Below are 23614 nucleotides of genomic sequence, written 5' to 3'. Positions count from 1 at the left end.
TGTGTGTGTGTGTAGGCTTGTGAGACCACATTCTTCCTTCAGGATAAAGGTTTTGATCACACCACTGTATGATTGTATACAGACATAAATTGTATGCATATATTATTGTATTAATGCTTTTATATACTGCAACATACAGTTTTAAAAGAATGAGATAAAAGTTACTAGCATAAAAGTTTAAATATTTTCTTTCTCCTTGTGGACTCCTGAAGACCACGCATGATATGAATCATTGCAGATGGTCCAGTTAGCCTGTCTCAGGAATAATTCTAGAATCTGAGCCATCTCTGTTAACACTATCAGCTGAATAATGAGTATCTCTGCTTACAAGTTCACTTGGAAGTCAAATTGGAGGACATTGATTTGACTCAGAAAGACCTACTACCATTCCTGGGATAACACCTTCAAGAGCTGAGTCCCCTGATGTGGGGCAGCTGGTCAACCTTGCAGGTGTGGAACAACAAAAGAACTAGAAGGAGTGCAAGGCCTGGGGGAGGAGAGAGGCAAGCATGGGGGTTATTGTTGTCAGCAAAATGTTAATGTCCTTTCCCAAAGGCATCCTTTTGCTCAGCATTCTAGACTTTCTCCTTGTAAACATCATAAACATATTTAAAGCCATCATAAAAATGCCATTTGGATCAAAGTGATGCAGTGTCATCTCCCTCTCCACATCCGAATTTTTGGATTATTACTCCCAAGTCGTTATTACGGCCGTACTAATGTGGGAAGGCCGAGCTGGCGTGCTGCCAGGAATTTTTATTCTTTTCCATCCGCCTCCCACTGACAAATCTACAGATCCATCTCCCCAGCTTCCCTTCCTACTACAGTGAACGCCATGGGCTGATTCCTCCGCGTGTGCCTTGGGGTCCATCTCCTATATTCTCCCCAAATATTCTCTCCCCAAATATTATTTCTGTCTCTCCTCTGTCCTTTCATTCCCCCATTCCCCCTTAGCTGTCTCTCTCGCTCTCCCTTCTCTGTCTCTGTCATTCCTCCTCTCTCTCTCTCCTTTCTCTCTCTCATTCCTCCTCTCTCTCTCCCTTCTCTCTATCTCTCTGTCTCATTCCTCTTCTCTCTCTTCCTTCTCTCTCTCTTTCTATCTCTCTCTGTCTTTCTCATTTCTCCTCTCTCTCTCTCCCCTTCTCTCTATCTCTCTGTTCCTCTCTCTCTCTCTCTCTCTCTCTCCAGGTCCACTTATCCTCCCCGACCAGATCGTTCACATCAGTATACAAACTTGACTCATCTTTTTTAAAAATTTAGGTAAAATATACATATATAATTTACCATCTTTACATTTTCTTTTCTTTTTTTTTTTTTTTGAGACAGAGTCTCATCACTCTGTCGCCCAGGCAGGAGTGCAGTGGTGCGATCTTGGCTCACTGCAACCTCCGCCTCCCAGGTTCAAGTGATTCCCCTGCCTCAGCCTCCTGAGTAGCTGGGACTACAGGCACGTGACCACCATGTCCAGCTAATTTTTTGTATTTTTAGTAGAGAATGGGGTCTCAACATATTGGCCAGGCTGGTCTCGAACTCCTGACCTTGGCCTCCCAATATGCTGGGATTACAGGCATGAGCCACCAAGCCCAGCCCATCTTTACCATTTTTAAGTGTACAGTTTAAAGACATTTAATGATTTTTTCCCACTTTACCCCTTTGTACTCCTCCCATGCCCAGCCTCTGGTAACCGCCAATCTATTCTCTATCTTCATGAGATCCACTTTTTAGCTCCCACAGATAAGAACATGTGATATTTGTCTTTCTGTGCCTGGCTTATCTCACATAACATAATGGCCCCCAGTTCCATCCATGTGGCTGCAAATGACAGGGGTTTTATTTTGTTAAGGGCCTAATAATGTTACACTGTGTATATATACCACATTTTCTTTATCCATTCATCTGTTGTGGACACTTAGGTTGATTCCATATTTTGGCTATGGCTATTGTGAATAGTGCTGAGATAAACATGAGAGTGTAGATATCTATTCAATATATTGATTTCCTGTCTTATAGATATATATCCAGTACTGGAATTGCAGGGTCATAAGAAAGTTCTATTTTCTATTTTTTAAGGAACCTCCATACTCTTCTTCATAGTGGCTGTACTAATTTACATTCCCACCAGCAACGTATGAGAATTCCCCTTTCTTCATTCCCACCAGCATCCATCGTTGCCTTTTTTTTTTTTTTGAATAGTGCATATTGTTTTTTATCTTCATTTTTTTTTCTTTCAGTTTTTATTTTTAGTTCCAGGGTACATGTGCAGGGTATGCAGGTTTGTTACGTAGGTAAATGTGTGCCATGGTGGTATGCTGCATCTATCAGCCTATCACCTAGGTATTAAGCCCAGCATGCATTAGCTATTTTTCCTTAATGCTGTTGCCTGTCTTTTTTATACAAACCATTTCAACTTGAGTGAGATGATACTACATTATGGTTTTGATTTGCATTTATCTGATGATTAGCAATGTCAAACATTTAAAAAATATAACTGTAGGCCATTTGTATGTCTTCTTTTTGAAAAATGTTTGTCCCAATTTTTTGCCCATTTTTAAAAATGAAATTATTTGTTTCTTTGCTATTTAGTTGTTTGAGTTCTTTATATATTCAGGTTATTAGTCCCTTGTCAGTTAGATTGCAAAGATTTTCTCTCTATCTGTGGTTTGTCTATTCAGTTTGTTGTTTCCTGTGTGGTGCAGAAGCTTTTTAGCATTATGTAATTCCAATTGTCTATTTTTGCTCTGGTTGCCTGTGCTTTTGAGAACTTACACAAGAAATATTTGCTCAGACCAATGTCACGGGGTGGTTCCCCAGTGTTTTCTTCTAGTAGTTTCATAGTTTCAGATCTAAAATTCAAGTCTATAATCTATTTTGATTTGATTTCTGTGTATGATGAGAGATAGGGGGCTATTTTCATTCTTTTGTATATGGATATCTAGTTTTCCCAGCACCACTTATGGAAGAGACTGTCTTTTCCCCATTGTAAGTTCTTGGTGCCTTTGTTGAAGATGAGTTGGTTGCAATGGGTGGATTTATATCTGGGTTCTCTATTCTGCTCCACTGGTCCATGTGTCTGTTTTTGCACCAGCACCATACTGTTTTGGTTACTACCGCTTTGTAATAAATTTGAAAGGTAATGTGACACCCCAGCTTTGTTCTTTGATCCATCTTTAAAAGCCATCTCTTCACTCTCACCCATTCTAGATCCACTCTCCACTTCTGTTTCTAGTGAACAAGTTGTCTGAATTTAATCGCCTCACCCCTGCCTCCGCATCCTATTCCCATCTGGCTTCCATCCTTGCCACCCTACTAATGCAGACTTACCAAGGACCAGCATCCATTCAACATTGCCAAATTCGTGGCACCTGTCTGTCATTCTTCCACTAGTCCTCTCAGCTGCCCACATCCTCCGTTGCAGCCCATGCCTGGCTCCTGGCCCTTCTGATGCTGTGCTCTCATGGTTTTCTCCTTGCCCTACTGGGGGTCCTTATCTGACACCTTTGCCATGTCCTCCTCCTTTCCCACCCAACCTCACATACTGTGGTGTCTTTGATTTGGACTTAGTCTTGCTTCTCCAGCCACACTCACTTCTTACATCCACTCAGTTCCATGTTGCATGTTGTCACCTGTCTTCTTTCTTTCTTTTTTAGGGACAATCTCACTCTGTCACCCAGGAGTGCAGTGGTGCGATCACAGCTCACTGCAGCCTCAAACTCCTGAACTCAAGCGATCCTCCCACCTCAACCTCTTAAGGAACGGGGACTACAAGTGCACACCACTATACACGGCTTCTTCTTCTTCTTCCTTCTTTTTCTTTCTTCTTCTTCCTCTTCCTCTTCTTCTTCTTCTTCTCATTATTATTATTATTATTTTGGTAGAGATGGGGTCTCACCATGTTGCCCAGGCTGGTATTTAATTACGAGGACTACAAGTGCACACCACTATACACGGCTTCTTCTTCTTCCTTCTTCTTCTTCCTTCTTCTTCCTCTTCCTCTTCTTCTTCTTCTTCTTCTCATTATTATTATTATTATTTTGGTAGAGATGGGGTCTCACCATGTTGCCCAGGCTGGTATTGAATTCCTGGGCTCAAGTGATCCTCCTGCCTTGGATCTGTATTCTTCTAGTCCAGAAAGTCATCACTAGCTCAGTCTCCTCTTCTGAACCCTAGACTTACATAGTCAATTGCCTGCTAGTATCTCCACTTAAATGTCTTATAGACATTTCAAATTTAATATGACCAAAACGTCAGTCTGGTTTCCACCCTCCATAGTCCATTTCTCCCTGAGTTTTCTCACCTTGGTATGTGGACTCATTGCCCTCTGGCTGATCTAGGAGTCCACCCTGTGGTCCTCCCCCTCCTCCATATCCACTCAGCCACCAAGCCCAGTGTATTAGTTTCCTGTTGCTGCTGTAACAAATTGGCATAAACTTGCAGCTTAAACAACAGAAATGTGTTATAAGTCTGGCATGAGTCTCACTGGGTTAAAGCCAAGGCATTGGCAGTGCCGTGCTCCCTTCTGAAGGCTCTAAAGCAAAGTCCGTTTCCTTGCTCATTCAGGTTAGTGGGAGAATCATCTTCTGGAAGCTGTAGGACTGAGATCTCACTTCCTCAATGGCTGCCAGCTGAGATAATTTCCCAGTGTCCAGGGGTCACCCACATTCTGTGGCTCACAGCGTCTTTCCTTCATCTTCAAAGCCATGAAGGGCGGGGCAAGTTACTCTCACGCTTTGAATCTCTTCTTCTGTCTCATCTCTCTGATTCAGCTGGGAAAGATGATTCTCTACCTTTACGGGATTGTGTGTTTAGATTGGACCCACTAAAATAATCTAGGATAATCTCAAACCCATCACAGGACTTCACTTTTTTTCTGCCAATGATTATAATTTGTATTTATTTTGTCTTTCAAATTTACATTTGACTTGTTTATTATCTCTACCCCCAAGTTGAACAAAACTTGTTCAAATGAAAAATGGCAGCCAACTGTTTTGTCTAGAGCATGGACCTGTCTCACCTGTGAGAGCACAGTGCTAACAGAGTTGCAGCCATTGTTTGTTGACTGGCTAAGTGAACCACACACCAAATCCTGAGTCACAGCCGCACACTCTGTAGGAGAGGAAAATTCTCGCTGGATGGTTTGTACATGCTATTGCCTTATTAGATTAAGCAAAAGAAAAGGGGAAAATAAGTCTGCTAAGGGCCAGGAATGTCCTCCAGATTCTAGAAAGCAGAAAAACAAACCAAGTGGAGAACAAAAGGGAGAAAGGGGGAAAATATTACTCTACCTTTAAAACTAGGACCACCTGAATTTTTGCTCTGTGGAAGGCAGAGATGAGGTAGAGAACAAATTATATGACTCTGAGCTGGTATTGTCATCAACTACTGAAGACCAAAGGGCGTTATGGTCAGAGAGGTGGAGGGTCCTGCTAACCACATGCCCACAACAAACCGCCATCACCATTAGCCAATCTTGCTTCCTCATGTTTAGTTTATGAAGGTGTGTGTATGTGACTAGGAGCAATCTTTTATTATTGACTTTTACAGTCTTGTGTTGACCTTCTAGAGACAATTCCTTCATTGCTTCAGGGGAGATAAACTTTGCTTAAATAATTAAGGTCTGAGTTACTTGGTTATTTGGTTTTCATCACCATACGCACCTTTTCTTAGCCAGGTTTCTGGCTGAGACAGTTTCCATCTAAAATCTGCTTGTTCCGCACCTCTATCCTGATGAGCATTTCAAAATAAGCAGCTTGAGCTCCCTGGCTACATATCTAGAACAATGACTCTTGCCTGGGGCAGTTTTGACCCCCAGGGGACATTTGGCACTGCTGGAAGAAATTTTTGGATGTCACAACTTTGGGGCAGTAGTTTGGTGGTCCTGGCCCCCAAAGACTAGGGATGCAGCTAAACCTCCTACAATGCACAGGGCATACCCTACCACAAAGAAATATTGGGTCTCGAATGTCAACTGTGCCATGGTTGAGAAATCCTGTGCTCAGAAGGAAAAAAGAGCATATCTCAATCATACACTTAATTATATTTTGGCTGCATAACAGAGAGGTGAGGGAGCAGGAGGTGCTGCCATGGCAAAGGCACATTTGGCCACTCAGATGAGACACAGAGTTTTATTCCTTTTTCCAACCACTGACCTCAAGTTTGGCATCTTCAGCCCAAATAACTCATTATAGCTTACTCAGCCCTCCTTATTCCAAAGCAACAAATATAGCAATATAGCAACTGACTCTCACTTGACCCTCACTGTGGCATGTGATGCTTCTGACTGTTTCTTCCTTTGTGAACTCCCTCTTCCCTTGGTCTATAAGACCACACTTTCTCCTGTTGTCATTTTCCATCATTTCCTCCATCTTCTTTGTGAGCTGGTCTGCCCATCCAAAGACAGTGGTGTCTTCTCTTCATTCTACATTATCTCCCAAGACATGTTCATTCGCTTTACATTTCCAACTCGACCTACATGATAATAACTCCCAAATGTACTATATACCCTCTTGGATGGCAAACAGCCATGTGTACACAATATGCCAGGAACAAAACTAGCACATAATTATTTATTGAGTTAAATAATTGAATAAACATCTACTTTGCTCCAAACACCTTGGCAAGTTATGGCTCAGTCAACCTTTGGTCTTAAAAGAGCAACAACTCTTGTTTCCAGATCCAATTTGCCACAATCCTTTTTTGTGTCATTTAATGTTCACTAAGGATTTGGCAATTAAAAAATAAGTAATATATCAATATCCCTTCTGCATGGAAATCAAAGGCCTTAATAAAACATTTGTGTAAATCAATTTTCTTCTTAAATCACCTTTTTTTTCCAATTACATAGTGTCAGTGAAAGCCAAAACAAGTATTTTTTCAAATTTTTGACCATAAAGTAATTGTATATTCCTACTCATTTCTGCAAATCATCATTAGTTTTACAACATATAGCAAAGCTGAAAGCATCTAACGCCTGTTAGTGCTAACCTTATGCATAAGCATGCTCACATACCAAGGGCATGGGTCTGCCTGGATGGCCAGACATAAACAATTAAATTAGTGAGTGGACTAAGTGTTTGGGGTCATGATGCAATTATGGAAGACCAGGAAACATTGATATATTCAATTGGATTGAGTATAGGCATTTATAAAGCCAAGGATAATTTTAAAGAAAACAAAACCAGATGTATGCATAAATCTTTAAAAATGCAAGTTGTTGAACTAAGCATGATCATTCCCCCTTCCCTGAAAGATTTTTAGCATTTTTTCCCTCCTATTAGTAGTTTCCCTAACAGAGAAGCAATGACCAAGTACCAAAAGTTAAGGAAATATAAACGGGGGGCGGGGGAAGGGAGCAAAAACTGAACACTGACACGATTTTACATATTATGCTAATTAAGATTTCAGCTTGGTGGAAACCCAAACATATGGATTCCTTTCGGCAGCAGAGCACCAGGGCTTGAGCAAGCACCATCAGAGGGTCTTGGTGAGTGGGCTGACACTGCCAAGCACTCATTCTAGGTCAGGCTGCTTCTGGGTTTTTTTTGTTGTTGTTGCTGTTGTTTACAGGTACTCATTTACGACAGCCACATCGGCTCAATACTATTGCTATTCCCATTTTACAAATCCCTTATATGTGCAACATCGAATGGTTCCCTCTAGTAAAATCACACCCCACATAATAACAAGTATGTGCAGGTTGAAGGGTTGAAGGATGAGGAAGCCAGGATGGCCCAGGGGCCATGTGTCTCATTTACGGAAGACACAGCAGTGAATGGAACAGACAAGACCCTCTGCCCTTGTGGAGCTCACGTCCTAAGGAGAAGGAAGTAATCAACAAGATTCATGAGTAGATATATAGTATATTTGAAAATGATTATGTTTAGGAGGAAAATAAAGCACAGAAGTGGTATGGAGATTTCAGAGGCAGAGGAAGGTGGCAATCTTAAACAAGATAGACGACAGCAGCATTCTTGTTGAAAACTTACCTGTCAATATTTTACAAGGGCAAAAAAAGACCCAGGGAACCATCCCCCAAAAGACCACGTCCATGAACCTCCAGGTTTCATGGGAAACACTAATCTGGTGGAAAGCCTGAAGACAATCAGACCTCATCTTTCCCCTCCAAACACGCACTTGCACACACGGCAGGAATAATAATTGTCTTTCTGCCAGTCATTGCCTGGCTTGCCCAGGCTTACTGTCTAGACTCCTCTGTATACTTATGCCGCTTTCGTAGCTCCAACTAAAGCCCTTGGTTCCACCAATAGAACACAGCTCAAGAGTCCATCTTTGCTCTGGTATTGACATTCTGTATTTCTGCTTGAGCAGTGACACAGCAACATCAGGGTTACAACAAGATGGGGGTTTCAGGCTGTTGAACATTGACAGAGGGTGGGGACAATCCTATCCCTTCTGCCTCTTCCCACAGACCTCGACTACATTGTTTAATTAAAAGGTTTCCTGGGCTGGGTGTGGTGGCTCATGCCTGTAAACCCAACACTTTGAGAGGCTGAGGTGGGTGGATCATGAGGTCAGGAGTTCAAGACCAGCCTGGCCAACATGATGGAACCCTGTCTCTACTGAAAATACAAAAATTAGCCAGGCGTGGTGGTGTGCACCTGTAATCCCAGCTACTTGGGAGGCTGAGGCAGGAGAATCACTTGAACCCAGGAGGCAGAGGTTGCAGTGAGCTGAGATCATGCCATTGTACTCCAGCCTGGGCAACAGAGTAAGACTGTCTCAAATAAATAAATACATTTTAAAAAGGTTTTTGGGCCCTGCATTTTTCTTTCCTCAGTTGGTTTTTTCACTCCCTGCTCTTAGGTGATGCCCACAAGTTCTTACTATCTGTTACCCTCAGGTAAAAGACATGGCTTTTGCAGATATAATCAAAATGAGGTCAAACTAAATTAGGGTGAGCCCTAAATCCGATGAATTATGAGAGGGAGATCTGGAGACACACAGGGAAGAAGCCCATGTGATAATGCAGGCAGACGTTGAAGGATGCAGCTCCCCAAAGGATATTGTTCGCAAACAAATTAAAAGCCAAAATGATGGCATCTGAAAGATAAGCCATCCCAACTGCAGATCTCTAGAGCTATTAATGTAGCATGGCTTTGTCATCTGAAGTCCAGTTTTATGGAAGCCTCAGATTCCCCTAAGGACTGCCAGCATTTAAGCACTTAGAGGAAAATATCTTCTGCAATTACCAGGTGCTCCCAGGCAATGGGCAGCAAATGAATACCACCAAGAAGATCCAAAGAGTCGGATCCCATGCTCAGTGAATGGGGTGAGCATCTTTATCATAAAGGAAAGTGCATCATGATTAGCTTCTGGTGGTAAAATCAGGCAGACAAGGAGAATTGATGGGAAAATAAAGAAGAAAGAGGAGGAAAAGACACAGGAGGCTGAAATACATGATGAAGACAAGCAAATGACAACCCTGCCACCAGCAATCTGACTCAGCAACAACATTGCCACTGCCAGAGACAGACGGTGCGTGATTGACAGGGACAAAAGGACTTCTGTGGTGTGGGGAAGTAAAGTGCCTCATACATCCTGGCTACTGACTGCTGTGGGTGGAATGGTGTCACCCAGAAAGATATGTCCAAGTTCTAATCTCCATGGAGTACCTATAAATGTGAACTTATTTGGAAATATGGCCTTTGCAGATACAGTATGATGATGTCAGACTAAATGAGAATGAGTCCTAAATCCAATGACTTACAAGAGAGAGATTTGGAAATGCACAGGGAAGAAGTCCAAATAGTAACGCAGGCAGAGGCTGGAGTGATGCAACAACAAGCTGATGAATGCCCAGGATGGCTGGCAACACCAGCAGCTGAAGAGGCAAGAAAGGACTCTCCCTAGAGCATTCAGAGGGAGTATGGCCCTGATGACCCCTTGAATTTTTTACTTCTGGCCTCCAGAAGTGTGAGAGAGTACATTTCTATTGGTTTTATTTGTTTGCTTGTTTTGTTTTGTTTTGTTTTTGAGATGGAGTCTCACTCTGTCACCAGGCTGGAGTGCAGTGGCACTATCTCGGTGCACTGCAACCTCTGACTCCCTGGTTCAAGCGATTCTCCTGCCTCAGCCTCCCAAGTAGCTGGGATTATAGGCATGCACCACCACGCCCAGCTAATTTTTGTATTTTTAGTAGAGACGGGGTTTCACCATGTTGGCCAGGATGGTCTCGATCTCTTGACCTTGTGATCCACCCACCCCGGCCTCCCAAAGTGCTGGGATTACAGGCGTGAGCCACTGCGCCCAGCCTTTCTATTGTTTTTAGGCTGCTCAAGTTGTGTCCATGTTTACAGCAACCCTGGGAAACTAATGCAGATACCAGCCTGACACCTGAAAAAAGTTGTCTCAACCAGCGCAAGACAGTATCTGAGTTCTCCTTCCAGTTGCAGAGTTAACATTGCATGTATTTATTTTAACTGGCATCCTACCTTCACTTCCTGCCTTTACTAGATTCAACCTATGGATTATCATGCTTTACGAAGCGTGTGTTAGAGAAGAAACTATATGAAAAGGTTTATCCATCAGGGAGGCATTTTATAGGAACTTTAATATTAAGATGCAATTGCTAACAGAGGTTAATACTCTGAATTATCACAGATAAAGAGAGGTTGAAAGAGATTGTAGCTCAGTTTATGTTGCCAAAGTGTTATTTTCTTTAGAATAAGGTTTCTCAAGTGCAACTCTCTTGACACTTTGAACTGGATAATGCTTTGTTGTGGGGGCCTGTCTTGTGCATTGTAGGATGTTGAGCAGCATCCTGGACCTCCACTCACTCCCTAGGTGGGTTAGGGTTAGGGTTAGCACCTCACCCCCTCATCATGACAATCAAAATGTCTCCAGACATTGCTCAATATCCCCAAGGAAGAGGATAAAATCACCCCCAGTGAGAACCCCTGATCTAGAGTCAGTCTGTACCCTCTCCTAGCACAAATTACTGTAGAAGGGAGAAAAAAATCCTCGTGAACCTTTCATAAAGAACTAGAGATGGGAAAGTAGATCCAAGCCATAGATGGGTCCAAGATACCAAAGGTAACTGGGCTAATCAGAAGATGAGTCTCTTTTAGGAAGGTAAGAAAAACACTCCGTGGAAGATGGACTCAGGGCTTGATTCTCTAAGTCTGCAGAGAGGCTGGGGAATGACCTCAACCAAGTGGCCTTTGTGTGCCTCACTTCATCTTGATGAGAAGAAAAATGATCTGAAATTAATATCAACAGATTCCCATGAAAGCAAGCTCTATACAGATGTGCAACATGCTCTGTGCCCTCACACCTTCTACATGCAAGTTTGCATCTGTTAATACAACCGGAGCCACAAGGAAACATGACAAAATAACTGGAGTGCCCGGGGACCATGATAAACTATTAAGAAACTGGTTTGATTGATTGATGTCAGCTATTTTAAAAGAAAGCCCACACTTCCAGCAAAAACAAAATACGATACAAGTGAAACTTAGATTTTAATGTTCTGGGGAAGAATAAGTTTAGCCTTCAAGTGTTTGGTCAATTTGGTCATCCAGAAGATATCACTGATTTTCAGGAGACACTGAACAGTTGAGATTTCACCATAGCTAAATTCTGTATCTGGGCGCCTAGGTATTTATTTTAAGCAACCCTTCCTCAGAAATCATATGCCAAGATTAGTAAATGTCATAGCCACTGAAGTTGTAGAAGGAATTCTAAAATACTACTGCAGTAGGGGTGGTAGTCTAAATAATTCAGACCAAAGTCTTACATAGTCAAAAGTGACCCAAATTCTTTATAGAGCAGAGGTAAACATTTGAAAATACCACAGATGACTGTACAGGAGACCTTATAGAACTGCTACCTATGAAAACATCACACTTACCCACTAGCACCCTATGACTCCAGACAGAGAATAGGTAGATTCCAGTCCATGAGGCCCTAATCAAAAATTGTAGAAAAATACAAGACTCCACTGAGAACCTCCTGTCAAAAATCATACTTCGTTTAAACCTGCAAGGATTGGGTTTTAAATCCCTGGACACATCCCACCCATTTCCCACCCCAGAAACTCCTTTTGTCAGCTGGCATTGGCTTGGCTGTGTGATTGCATCTTCAATCAAAGCTCCTTGTCTGACAGGTTGGATATTTTAGACACCATTTTTTTCTAGGTGGTGTAAGATATTAATAGTGATCTCAGCAGAGAATTCCATTTCCTTACCTATCCTGGGCTCAAAAATGCCTTTAGGACAATGTGCTCACAAATAGGCCCCAAATCTTGTTCCAAAACACAGTTTCCCAGATGCCGTAAGCCCACCTGGCTGGGTTTCTGGGTCCCTTGTTCCTGCATCTTTCTTCAGGACTTGCTGTTCCTCCATGAGTCAAGAAGCAGGATAACAGTTTATTAAGGGGACAGAGACACTCCCTTACTGAATAAATGGGGGCTCCTCAGAGTCCGATCCCTGGTCTGGGATTTAGGCAGCCTGGGCTCTGAGCAGGAGAGGAGTCAAGGGAAGATTAGAAGGTAGCGTTCAGGGACAAAGCAGACAGCCCAACCAAAATGGCGGTGTGCGGGTGAGGCCGTGAGATGGAACAAGGCACAACAAAGCCAGGAGCAGGAGGTGGGATGAGGGACTGGGATGCAGGGCTGAGAGGGGGGTGCTCCCTGAGGTGCCCAAGCATCACTGTGGGGGGTAGGATCGGTTATATCAGATTCCCCCAAAATTCATTTGTTAAAGTCCCAATGCCCAGAAAATAACCTTATTTGAAAAGAGGGTCACTGAAGATGTAACTTAGGTAAGATGAGGTTCTACTGGAGTAGGATAGGCCCTTAATCCAGTGTGACTGGTGTCCTTATGAAAATGGGACATTTGGGCCCAGACGAACATACAGGGAAGAGGCCATGTGATGACAAGGCAGAGGTAGGATAGGCCCTTAATCCAGTGTGACTGGTGTCCTTATGAAAATGGGACATTTGGGCCCAGACGAACATACAGGGAAGAGGCCATGTGATGACAAGGCAGAGATAGGATAGGCCCTTAATCCAGTGTGACTGGTGTCCTTATGAAAATGGGACATTTGGGCCCAGACGAACATACAGGGAAGAGGCCATGTGATGACAAGGCAGAGATTGGAGTGATGTTGCTACAAGCCAAGGAACCCCCAGAAGCTGGAGGGGACCCTGGAGCAGATCCCCACTCACAGCCTCAAAAGGAACCAACCCTGCCAACACCTTCATCTAGGACTTCCAGCCTTCCGAGCTGTGGGACAATACATCTCAGATATTTCAACTATCCGATGTGGGGTACTTTGGAAAATTGCCTTAAGAAACTGACACTTATGGATATCTTATTGTGGTATCACTGTGATATGGTTTGGCTCTGTGTCCCCACCCAAATCTCATGTTGAATTGTAATCCCCATGTGTCGGGGAGGGACCTGGTGGGAGGTGACTGGGTCATAGGGATGGTTACCCCCATGCCGTTCTCATGATAGTGAATGAGTTCCCAGGAGATCTGATGGTTTAAAAGTGTGTGACAGTTCCCCCACCTTGCTCTCTCTCCTGACACCATGTAAGACGTGCCTTGCCTCCCCTTCACCTTCTGCCATGATTGTAAGTTTCCTGAGGCCTCCCTGGCCATGCAGAACTATGAGTCAATTAAACCTCTTTTCTTTATAAATTACCCAGTCTCAGGTAGTTCTTTATAGCAGTGTGAAAACAGGCTAATACACACTGTCACAAACCCCTTGGTATGATCAAAGGATAATTTTATTTTATTTATTATGCTTTCTGGAACAACACCAGAAAACATTACTTACCTAAGGCCCAAAAGGAACCTTATTGTAGTCAAGTGTTTTAATATTTGCAGTCCTTTTATGCAACTTAAAATTGTGATCACTTTATACCCAGTAGTTTAAAGAGCATAGAAATATATTTGTGTGCCTATTTAACTTATAGGTTTTTAACAGAAGAAAACTTTGCAGCCAGAAACTGATATTATCCTGTTCTCATCTTTGAAATCCGCTTTAAAATCACATTGTAACTTCTCTTCATTTTACAAGTTTTTCCAGCAGCTTTTAGGCCAAAACCAATAAAATTTTGACCTGAATTGGCCCAACTATCTGTATAGATTGGAGCCTGGTGGTGCTCAGCCTTCTGCTGTTTGATAGGTTAATAGTATGTGTCAGGGTGATATAGAAGGCAAGATAATCGCTGTGCTGAGAGTGTGGAGAAATTTAGATGAACTAAATTAAAGCACATTTTCCCCCACTGAAAGCTTTTACTCTGACAAGGTGCATCACTTATTAAAACTTCCACCTTGTAGAGAACTCAGTTTGTATTTTAAATAACAGCGCTGGACAGTCATGAAGTCTCAGTCCTGTAATCCCAGCACTTTGGGAGGCTGAAGCATTCAGACCGCTTGAGCCTAGGAATTTGAGACCAGCCTAGGCAATATGGTGAAACCCCATCTCTACAAATAATATAAAAATTAATCGAGCGTGGTGGTGAGTGCCTGTAGTCCCAGCTACCCAGGAGGCTCAGGTGGGAGGATTGCTTGAGTCTAAGAGTTTGAGACCAGGCTGGGCAACATAGCTAGACCCTGTAACTACCAAAAAAACAGTTGCTGGGTGCAGTGGTGTGCACTTGTAGTCAGTCCTAAGAGTGCTGAGACAGGAGGATGGCTTGAGCCCAGGAGGTGGAGGCTACAGTGAGCCATGATCATCACGCCCCGCACTCTCCCATCAAAAACATAAAACAAAACAAAATCAAAAACAAATAATAGCACCAAAGCAAGGTGCAAGTGTGTGGACATTTCCAACTCATAGTTTGAAGCCAATAATAACATACTCTTCAGTTGATCTCATTTAGCAGTGATACATTTAGGTAACAATACATCATTTTCTCAGAGATGTGAATTATATGATCCAAAGGCTAAGCATGTAAATAGGTATTTGGTAGGTGAAATCACAGCCTCCAAATGTTATGGGAAAGAGCCCAAGCCTGGGAGTGAGGTACATGCAGACGCACGTTCCTAATGCCTCTTTGTGCTGTTAGATCAGCAACACTTTCCAATTTTCCCTTAGTCAGAGTTTATATTATTGCTGTTGGTATCAAATTAGCTTCATGTGTCCCGTATTTATTTATAAGCTTCCTGACGACAGTTCAGAGAGCAAGACATCCCTGCAGTGACAGCATAGTTATAGCCATTTGTAGATCTGTGGATATCATATTTGTCTAACACATGATAGAGGAATAATGAGGAATTTAAAATACTGGGAATTGATTTTAAAGAAAGTATAGAGCCACAAAGATTTGTATCTGCAAACTGATCTAGTGTGTGCCTCTTAATGCTGGGTGTGAGGGTTTCTGAGAGTCCTCTGCTATCTCAACCCTGCAAAGGGATGCAAAACAACCATTAAATCCAGCCATGCAAAAAATAATATGCTGTCCTCTAAACATCTCACGAAGTCTAAACCTGCGCTCAGCAGTTTCTCCCTCAAAAAAAAAAGTGTCTTTCGAATATCTCTATTTCCATTTATGAATGCTGTTATAACCCAAGTTACCCAGGCTTAGAACCTTAGAGTCATTCAATAAAAACCTTTACAAATCTCTCGGTATTGAGCTACATACACGGTGGGGTGCTCCCAGCCTGATGGGAGGTCAGAAACCAATCCTGCTGAATGTGCCACAAGCCATGGCAGCCGAATGCAGAAAAGCCCATTGGTCCACAGACTGAGATCCTTCGAAGCAGCCTGAGAGGCGGCGAGACCTCCCTCTGACTTTCTCTGCACATCCAGTCACTTCCCAAAGAGGACTGCATTTGACCTCTCTGAATGACTAGGGGGAAGTGGATGCTCCTCCTTCCCCTGAGAAGGAAGCTCCAGGAGCCTGTCTTTTTTTATTTTTATTTATTTATTTTTTTGAGGTGGAGTTTTGCTCTTGTTGCCCAGGCTGGAGTGCAATGACGCGATCTCGGCTCACTGCAACCTCCACCTCCCAGGTTCAAGGGATTCTCCTGCCTCAGCCTCCCGAGTAGTTGGGACTACAGGCGACTGCCAGCAAGCCCAGTAATTTTTGTGTTTTTAGTAGAGACAGGGTTTCACTATGTTGACCAGGCTGGTCTCGAACTCCTGACCTCGTGATCCACCCACCTCAGCCTCCCAAAGAGTATGTCCTTTTATCACTCTCCTCACAGGTTAAAAAGTGAGTTTCAACTGGGCACATTCAGCAAAAGGCAATCAAACAAAGAGTACTTGTGTCTCCGCTGAAACATAAGTATCAGAAAAACAAAATTATTTTCTGTCTTGTCCAGGCTTGGCAGTTACTAGGTGCTCAATAAAGTTTGTTGAGGGAAAGAATGTAAAAAAAAAAAGGAAGAAATTTCCCTTTCTTCCAATGGCCAGGCATGCCAGCAACCAGGGTAAGTGAATCTGTTAGGGAGACACAAGCCTGGAGTAAGTGTGCCAAGGGCTAGACAGCTGGGGAGAGGAGAGTTGGGGGAGAAGGAAGCACCCAGCCCATCTGACTGCCCACCTAAGTTGTGTCCTCCAAGCCAGCACTTATCAGGGATAAACTCGTATTTTCATCCCTGCGTGCCCTGCTCTCTCCATTCAAATACCTCAGAAATGACATCAGAGGGGTGTTGCTTAAATTCCCCCTAAAACTCCCACATTTCATGTATGGAATGTATGTATAGAGGGCATTTGCCATACGCCTTTAGTACATGAGCTGAGAACCCCAAGAAAAACAAGAATTGGTGAGATTGAAAAGGTTGCTGGGGGAGTCTGGTCAAATGGCTGCTTGGAACCGCTGCAAATAGGCACTACTGGCACCACCATAAACCCATGCCCTCTGAACTCACAGCCAGCAGCTAGTGCAGAACAGAGCTTGTTTTAATAAGGAAGAACCTTAGCAAAACTGCTTCCAATCTGGCTTGCAGCACATGCCTGCTGCCGTGGGAGCCACTGCAGCTTGATCCTGGACTCCAGGAGAGCAGCCAGCCTGGTGCTGTCTTGGCATTTGTGATGAAAACATACTTGCCCCTTTCTGGATTACCTCAGTGGGGCCTCTAGGCAAGGCCCCTAAATAATAGTCAGTGGGCTCTGTGTGGTTCAGGAGGCAATGGTGAGTTCATATTCTGTTTTGAATCGGTAGGACCAGGCCAACAGAGCAGCATCTGTCCCACACTCCCTGCTTCACTGTCCCAAATTCCAGTAGGTGTATGCAGGCATTGAGAGGAATTTGAGGGATGAATCCCTCCTTACTATGTGCCTTGTCCAGAGGCTGTGTCACAACCATTCCCCTCCCACCACCAGCCTCCTCAACACCTCCAATGCTGCCACTCCCATTACCTCCATCACCACCATCACCATTAGCACCACCACCACCACCACCATGATCATCACTACCACAGCATCACAGGCAACACCATCACCAATATCACCACCATCACCACCACCAACCATCACCACCACCATCACCATCACTATTACCATTACCATCACAGCCCCCACCCCTACCTCCATCACAACTTTTACCTCCTGCTCCATTTCCACCATCATGGTTACTGTCACCTCCATGAGCATCTTCCTGCCACCACCATACTGCCATCATACCATCTCTACCACCATCCCACTACTGCTATGATCACCACATCACTCCACCATTACCCCAATCACCACCACCGTGTGATCTCAAGTTGGCTTTGCAATTTTTAGCTGCATAAACTGTAATCCTGAATTTCGATTTTAGAGTTCCAGACCAGTTTTAATTGTAGAAGTATAGTAGATTTGAATCATCAACAAATAAAGAAGAATAAAGCCATGTATTAGCTTTATAGTCAAAATACAGACAAAGAAATTAGATCATTTCAGTGAATCTTCCATGAAAATTAAATGAAGGAATGGCAGCACTTTTTTAATGTCTTTTTTTAGTGGAGTGGCAAAAAAACAACTTAATTCAGTGTTTGTGAACCCAAAGGTTAGAAGTGCACTGACAAGTCTTGCATCTGGATTACTTTATAGATGCCATATTTGCTAGAAGAATCAAGGAGGAGCTAGAAGGCTATGAAAGTGTACTTCACTTTACTAGAAGAAAAGGAGCTGTAGAAGAGTTGTTTATTTTTATAATTTTTTTGAGACAGGGTCTTGCCCTGTTGCTCCTGGAGTGCAGTGACAGGATCATGGGTCACTCATTGCAGCCTCAATCTCCTGGGCTCAAGTGATCCTCCCACCTCAGCCTCCTGAGTAGCTGGGACAACAGGCATGCACCACCATGCCAAGCTAATTTTTTAATTTTTTAGTTTTTGTAGAGACAGGGTCTTGCTATGCTGCCCAGGCTGGTCTTGAACTCCTAGCCTCAAGTGATCTTCCTGCCTCGCCTTATGAGAGTGAGCTACTGCAGCTGGCCTGTTTGTTTTTTTTAGGCAGTCAGGCTAATTAAACTGGAGGGAAGGAGAGTGATTTCAGTGGAAGGAAAGCTGATGTTTCAAAGGGGAGGCAGGGCATGCAGGAAGGGAGATGAGATTGGGCAGATGTGAAAGGGAGGATGAGCTGCAGATGGACCCTGAGAGAACAGTGGAGCTGTGGATGCAGTACTTCAGGACATCATCCCTCAGTAGGTGCAATATCTAGGCTTGTCTGTCATGCTCTAGGTAAGACTGATGCTGCTAGTTTGTGGAGCAAGGCATGGAAGAGCAAGTCATTTGATACAGAAGGGGAATGATCTTAAGATGAGGTTCTACTGTCAGAAATGCCACTGCACTTTCTGGAAATAGCAGGGGCAGGAGAGGGTCGCGATCCATGGAGAGAACCCCTACAATTGTCAAACAAACAAATAACAAAAGATGAAGCAGAGAAAAAGGGGGATGGTCCTTTTTAGATCCCTCAGGAAGGGGCTGTCCACCCTGCTGCACATTGTAGTCACCAGGAAAGCTCTAAACACTACCAGTGCCTGGAAGATCAGCACCACCTGTATTCACCAGGGTTCTCCAAGAAACAGAACCAACAGGAAGTGGACAGAGATGAGATAGAGGAGATAGAGACAGAGAGATAGGGATAAAGAAAGAGATGGAGATGGAGATAGGGATAGAGATGAAGACAGAGGTAGAGATACATAGAGAAAGAGATAAGGATAGAGCTAGTTATAGACATAGAGATAGAAGAGATAGACATAGAGATAGAGGTAGGTAGAGACAGGGATAGAGACAGATAGGGATAGTGATAGAGATTGAGATAGAGAAAGATAGGGATAGAGACAGAGATAGAGATGGGGATAGAGATAGAGAGACAGGAATAGAGATCGAGATAGAGATAGACAGGAATAGATACAGGGATAGAGATGCAGACACAGATACAGATAGGGATAGAGAGAGACAGGGATAGGGATAGAGAGAGAGAAGGGATAGAGATAGAGGGAGATAGGGATAGAGATAGAGACAGAGAGAGATAGAACAGAAAGAGATAGAGATGGAAATAGGACAAGAGAGATAGAGATAAAAATAGAGATAGAGGTAGCTAGGGATAGAGATAGAGACAGAAGTAGATAGAGATAGAGGTAGAGACAGAGACAAAGATCGAGATGGAGATAGGGATAGAGAGAGATAAAGATAGATATAGGAATGGGGATAGAGACAGATAGAAATAGAAATAGAGATAAACAGAGACAGAGATAGAGATAAAGGGATAGAGAGATAGTGATGGAGATAGAGACAGAGAGATTTATTTATTTTAAGGAATTGGCTCACAAGACTGGAGGCTGGCAAGTTTGAAATCTGCAGGGTAGGCTGACAGGCTGGAGGTTCAGGGCAGAGTTGATGCTGCGGCTCAAGCTGAAGCTTGTATGGAGGCAGAATTCCCTCTTATTTGGGGGAATCTCAGCCTTTTCTCATAAAGACTTCAACTGATTGCATGAGGTCCACCCACATTATGGAGGGTAATATGTTTTACTCAACATTCACTGAAATGTTAATTTCACCTAAAACATTATTTCACAGCAACATCTAGACTGGCTTTTGGCCAAAAATCTGGGCACCATGGCCTAGCCAAGTTGACACATACAATTAGTCATCACACACCCCCAAAGACTCAATTGGTTGGGTACAGTATGGCCCTCAGGATTCTTAAAGTCCCCCAAGGGATTCCAAGCTGCAGCCAAAGGTGAGGAGTGGTGCTCCGGGAGCAAAGACTCTCGAAGCAATAACAGCAGCTTTGGTTTGGAAATGTTCTAAGGATGGTTCTTGATTGAAAACCAACATGAGGACTAGAGGGAAATTGTCCCCTGGAACCAGGCTTCCCGGGTCTTAGCAATTTCAAAACAAGAGGCAATAGAAACAGTTCACTCTGTCACAGCACTGCACACATGCCTGTAAGATTCAGTGGCAGCCATGACACTATAGAGGACCAACTCTCAGAGCAGCCTGAGGGGACTCCACACACTGGGCTAGAGGGGAAATGACACCCAAGGTGCAAAAGAAAGTGTGCCACCTCTGTATATTTCTATACTTTGAAAGAAGATAGCAATGTCTCAAATATTTCTCAACAAATACCTCTCTGGGGAAGGAGACAATATGTACAGGTTAAGTAGGGCCATTATTGGTTTGGTGAAGGGACAGTTCTTGCAATGGAGTTAACTGCCCCAGTCACAGTGCTCTGCAACCAAAGGTATCCTGCAGAGATAAAAACAAGGATGATTTCTTCTCTGTACATCAACCTACACTCAGATCCCATGGAGTTTCCATGGCGTATTTGGCATCAGTAACACGGGCCAAGATTTTACCGAGTGTGATGTCCCGAGAGCATGTTTGGATTAGGTAGTTCCTCTAGACAATGAAGTTAGCTGGTGATGGAATGTCAGTGCTGTGAGAATCTTGGCGGTGCAAAGATCATTTTCTTCTCTTTCAAGTGGGAAATGAGAGATTGACCTAACCTAATGCATCCTCTGAAGTCCTGAAGGCATTAAGCACATCATGTTGAAGGGTAGCCCAGTTCACATCTGATTGTTGAAGAGATCCAGAGAACAGAGAAACAGATCCAGAGAACAGAGATCCAATAAACAGAGAAAGAAATGGAGGAAGGCCTTAATTTCATTGGACATTAATATAAGACTGGGAATTATAGACTTTGGATTTGACTTCACAAGAGCAAGAATATTTAATTTTAGACTTTACTGAAGACACAGAATTATTTGAACTTTAACTTCCAAGCATATTTATTAGTTGCCTCTTTTAATTTCTTTCTGAGAATCTCTGCTGGTCCTTAGAGTGGTGCAAGCTACTTCAGCTCTCAGCCTCCAGGCACAAGGGAGGATTGGACTTGTGTGCCCTCTTGAACTCAGGTGGTGCAATGTAACTTTCTTTGGCCCATGAAATGTGACCAGTAGGGACATGGTCCCTTCCAGGAAAAGCTGTAGGCACCAGTGTGTGCCTAGCTAAGCTCAGTTTCCCTCTGGCACACGGCCAGCAGCATTCCACATGGCTGCTGTGCTCTCAGCTGGGCACCAGAGTGAAGACCAGGGAGGCACAGGGCAGAGCCCAGGCTGGCCAGTGAAGTCCATGGAAACAAACCTTCCTAGTGTTAAGCCATGAGATCTGGGAATTGTTTGCTGCTATTTGAGAGCCCCAGGGTCCAGAATACAGCCAGCCAACCTAGCCTAACCTATTAAAAGAGAATTTAATAAAAGAAGAGGTTTAGATTCAACTTTGGGTTGTTGGCATTTTATTCCCAGATCATATTAATGTTGACATTTAATCACATTGCAGAATCTCAGATAAGCTACATTGGGCAATATTGTTGGAAAAGAATGCAAAGAAAGAAAGAAAAAATAAATTTCCAACTTTGACTTCAGTGTGGCTCAAACTTAATTTGAATATTTTACTATTCTGACCCAAGTGACAGCTTCTGAGAACAAAATACATACTCCCTGGCAGTAGTCCCCGGAAGACACTCAAGACACAGTGGCTGATATTGGGGAGTGGGTGGCTGAAGGCAGGGGCAGCTTTTGCCAAGTGAGCAGCCGCAAGAGCAAGATGGTGCCTCCCTGGCCAACCAGGGACTTAACACTTCAATCTAAAGGTTAAGCATTCAGGGAGCAAAAAGGCAGGGCCCTCTTCTTCCCTGTGCCTCATAATTACATGAGGAGGGAATGCCACTTGAGCAACTCTCTTCGTATTCCAGTCTCACTAGCCCCTCACCATGGGGGATGGAGGTCTCAGTCTGTGGGAGATTATATTGGCTCATGGCCCATGATTGGTGAGGCTGATCTACTGGAAAACTATAAGTAACTGAGATTTGATTTCTTTTCTTCCCTTTCCACTCAGAACCAGAGAGGGGCAGCAATTTTGGGCAAAATGTCTGATTTGGAAATACCAACTTTACCTCCATGGGCTCCACAAGAAATCAGATGGGAGAAGGGACAAGCAGATAAGCGCAAGCCCATCAACCTGAAGGCATAAACCACATCCAGCCACCTCCTTCTGATCAGCAGCAAAGCTGACGTTTTGATCTCCATCTGTCTGATTCTTGTGTCTACTTCTCAGTTTACAACTCCAGTGGGAAAGAAAGAGCTTTATTTACAGACCCATAAAAATCCCATCAGTGTCGTCCCCTGCTGAGAGGCCATGTGAGACCATATGGAAAAACAACAGCCATAATGGCAGCATGGCAGTGGAAGGGTTTGTCTTGTGCCCAGGCCTTGCGGTCATGCAAGTTTCTTGTGGATCCTGTTGGGACCAGCCACTCACCAAGGCTGAGTAGGTCCACAAATAATGGGGACTTTCTACCAGACTCACAGAGAACTGCTGGGTTTTTGGGAAGGGTGTGCGTGTCTTTGGGGCATGCAAGTTGGGGTTATAGTGGAGACCCAGAGGATGAGAAAACTTCTCTGCCTCAGCAGAAGAGTGGCAGCTGAGAGAGAGGCAAGAAACTCGCACCCACTGTGGACTGGGGCAGAGAGATTTTGAGGAGAATGAAATCCAGAAACTCTGTGTGGTATTAGTTTGTATCCAGAGGGTGACCCTCTTCTCAAGGAAATGGGTGTCATCAATTTTCTACACTATTAAAGATATAAAGTTCTTGGCATTACTACGTAAAATTTTTAATGTAAAAAGATTACATCATAGAGTTTCTAGCATCTATTCTCAACTTTCCACTCCCACTGCTGGCATCCAGAGCAGGCCTTTATTACCATTCCTCTGGTTCATTTGAACCAAGCATGGATACAGAGAGAGAAGTGGGGGGAAAGATGAGCCCTCCCCACCTACTTCTCCATCTGTGGCCGCTTTGTCTGGAAGGAGAGCGAGGTTCTGTGTGGGCTAGGAGAGAGGCAGAGGTGGCCCTCGGCTACAGTTCACCCTGCATCCCAGCCTCCTCCGTGGGTCTCCAGGCTGGGCAGCTGCAGCTCCAGCTCCATGGCCTGGGGGAGGGCAAATGTGATGGAGAAGAATCCAGGAGGCTAGGAGTAACTCTTCCCCCTTGGAGTGTGGGAGACCGTCTCACAAGGTCAGGGATCAAAGAGAAAAAGAATGAGCTGAACTGGCCTCTGCAGGAGCTAGAGGTAACAAGTACTGGGGCATGACATTCCCTCTGGAAAGCAAGTCTTTTACAATTTAAGTTGATGGAACTGAACAGGAGGAAGA

General features: G+C 43.7%; 1 long non-coding RNA gene across 1 annotated transcript in view; it reads left to right on the top strand.

Annotated features, from left to right (window-relative positions):
• Window positions 1-23060, top strand: part of DSCR4 (Down syndrome critical region 4) — a 67350-nt gene extending 44290 nt beyond the window's left edge. Inside the window, exon 3 of the long non-coding RNA NR_147130.1 lies at window positions 22298-23060. This is a non-coding gene — a long non-coding RNA (Down syndrome critical region 4). The remainder of the gene's footprint in view (window positions 1-22297) is intronic.
• Window positions 23061-23614: the final 554 nt, after the last annotated feature.

Source organism: Homo sapiens, chromosome 21 (genome assembly GCF_000001405.40).
Source record: "Homo sapiens chromosome 21, GRCh38.p14 Primary Assembly".
Taxonomy (NCBI): domain Eukaryota; kingdom Metazoa; phylum Chordata; class Mammalia; order Primates; family Hominidae; genus Homo; species Homo sapiens.
The sequence above is the reverse complement of the archived record's forward strand: the minus strand, read 5'-3'. Positions and strand labels throughout refer to the sequence as shown.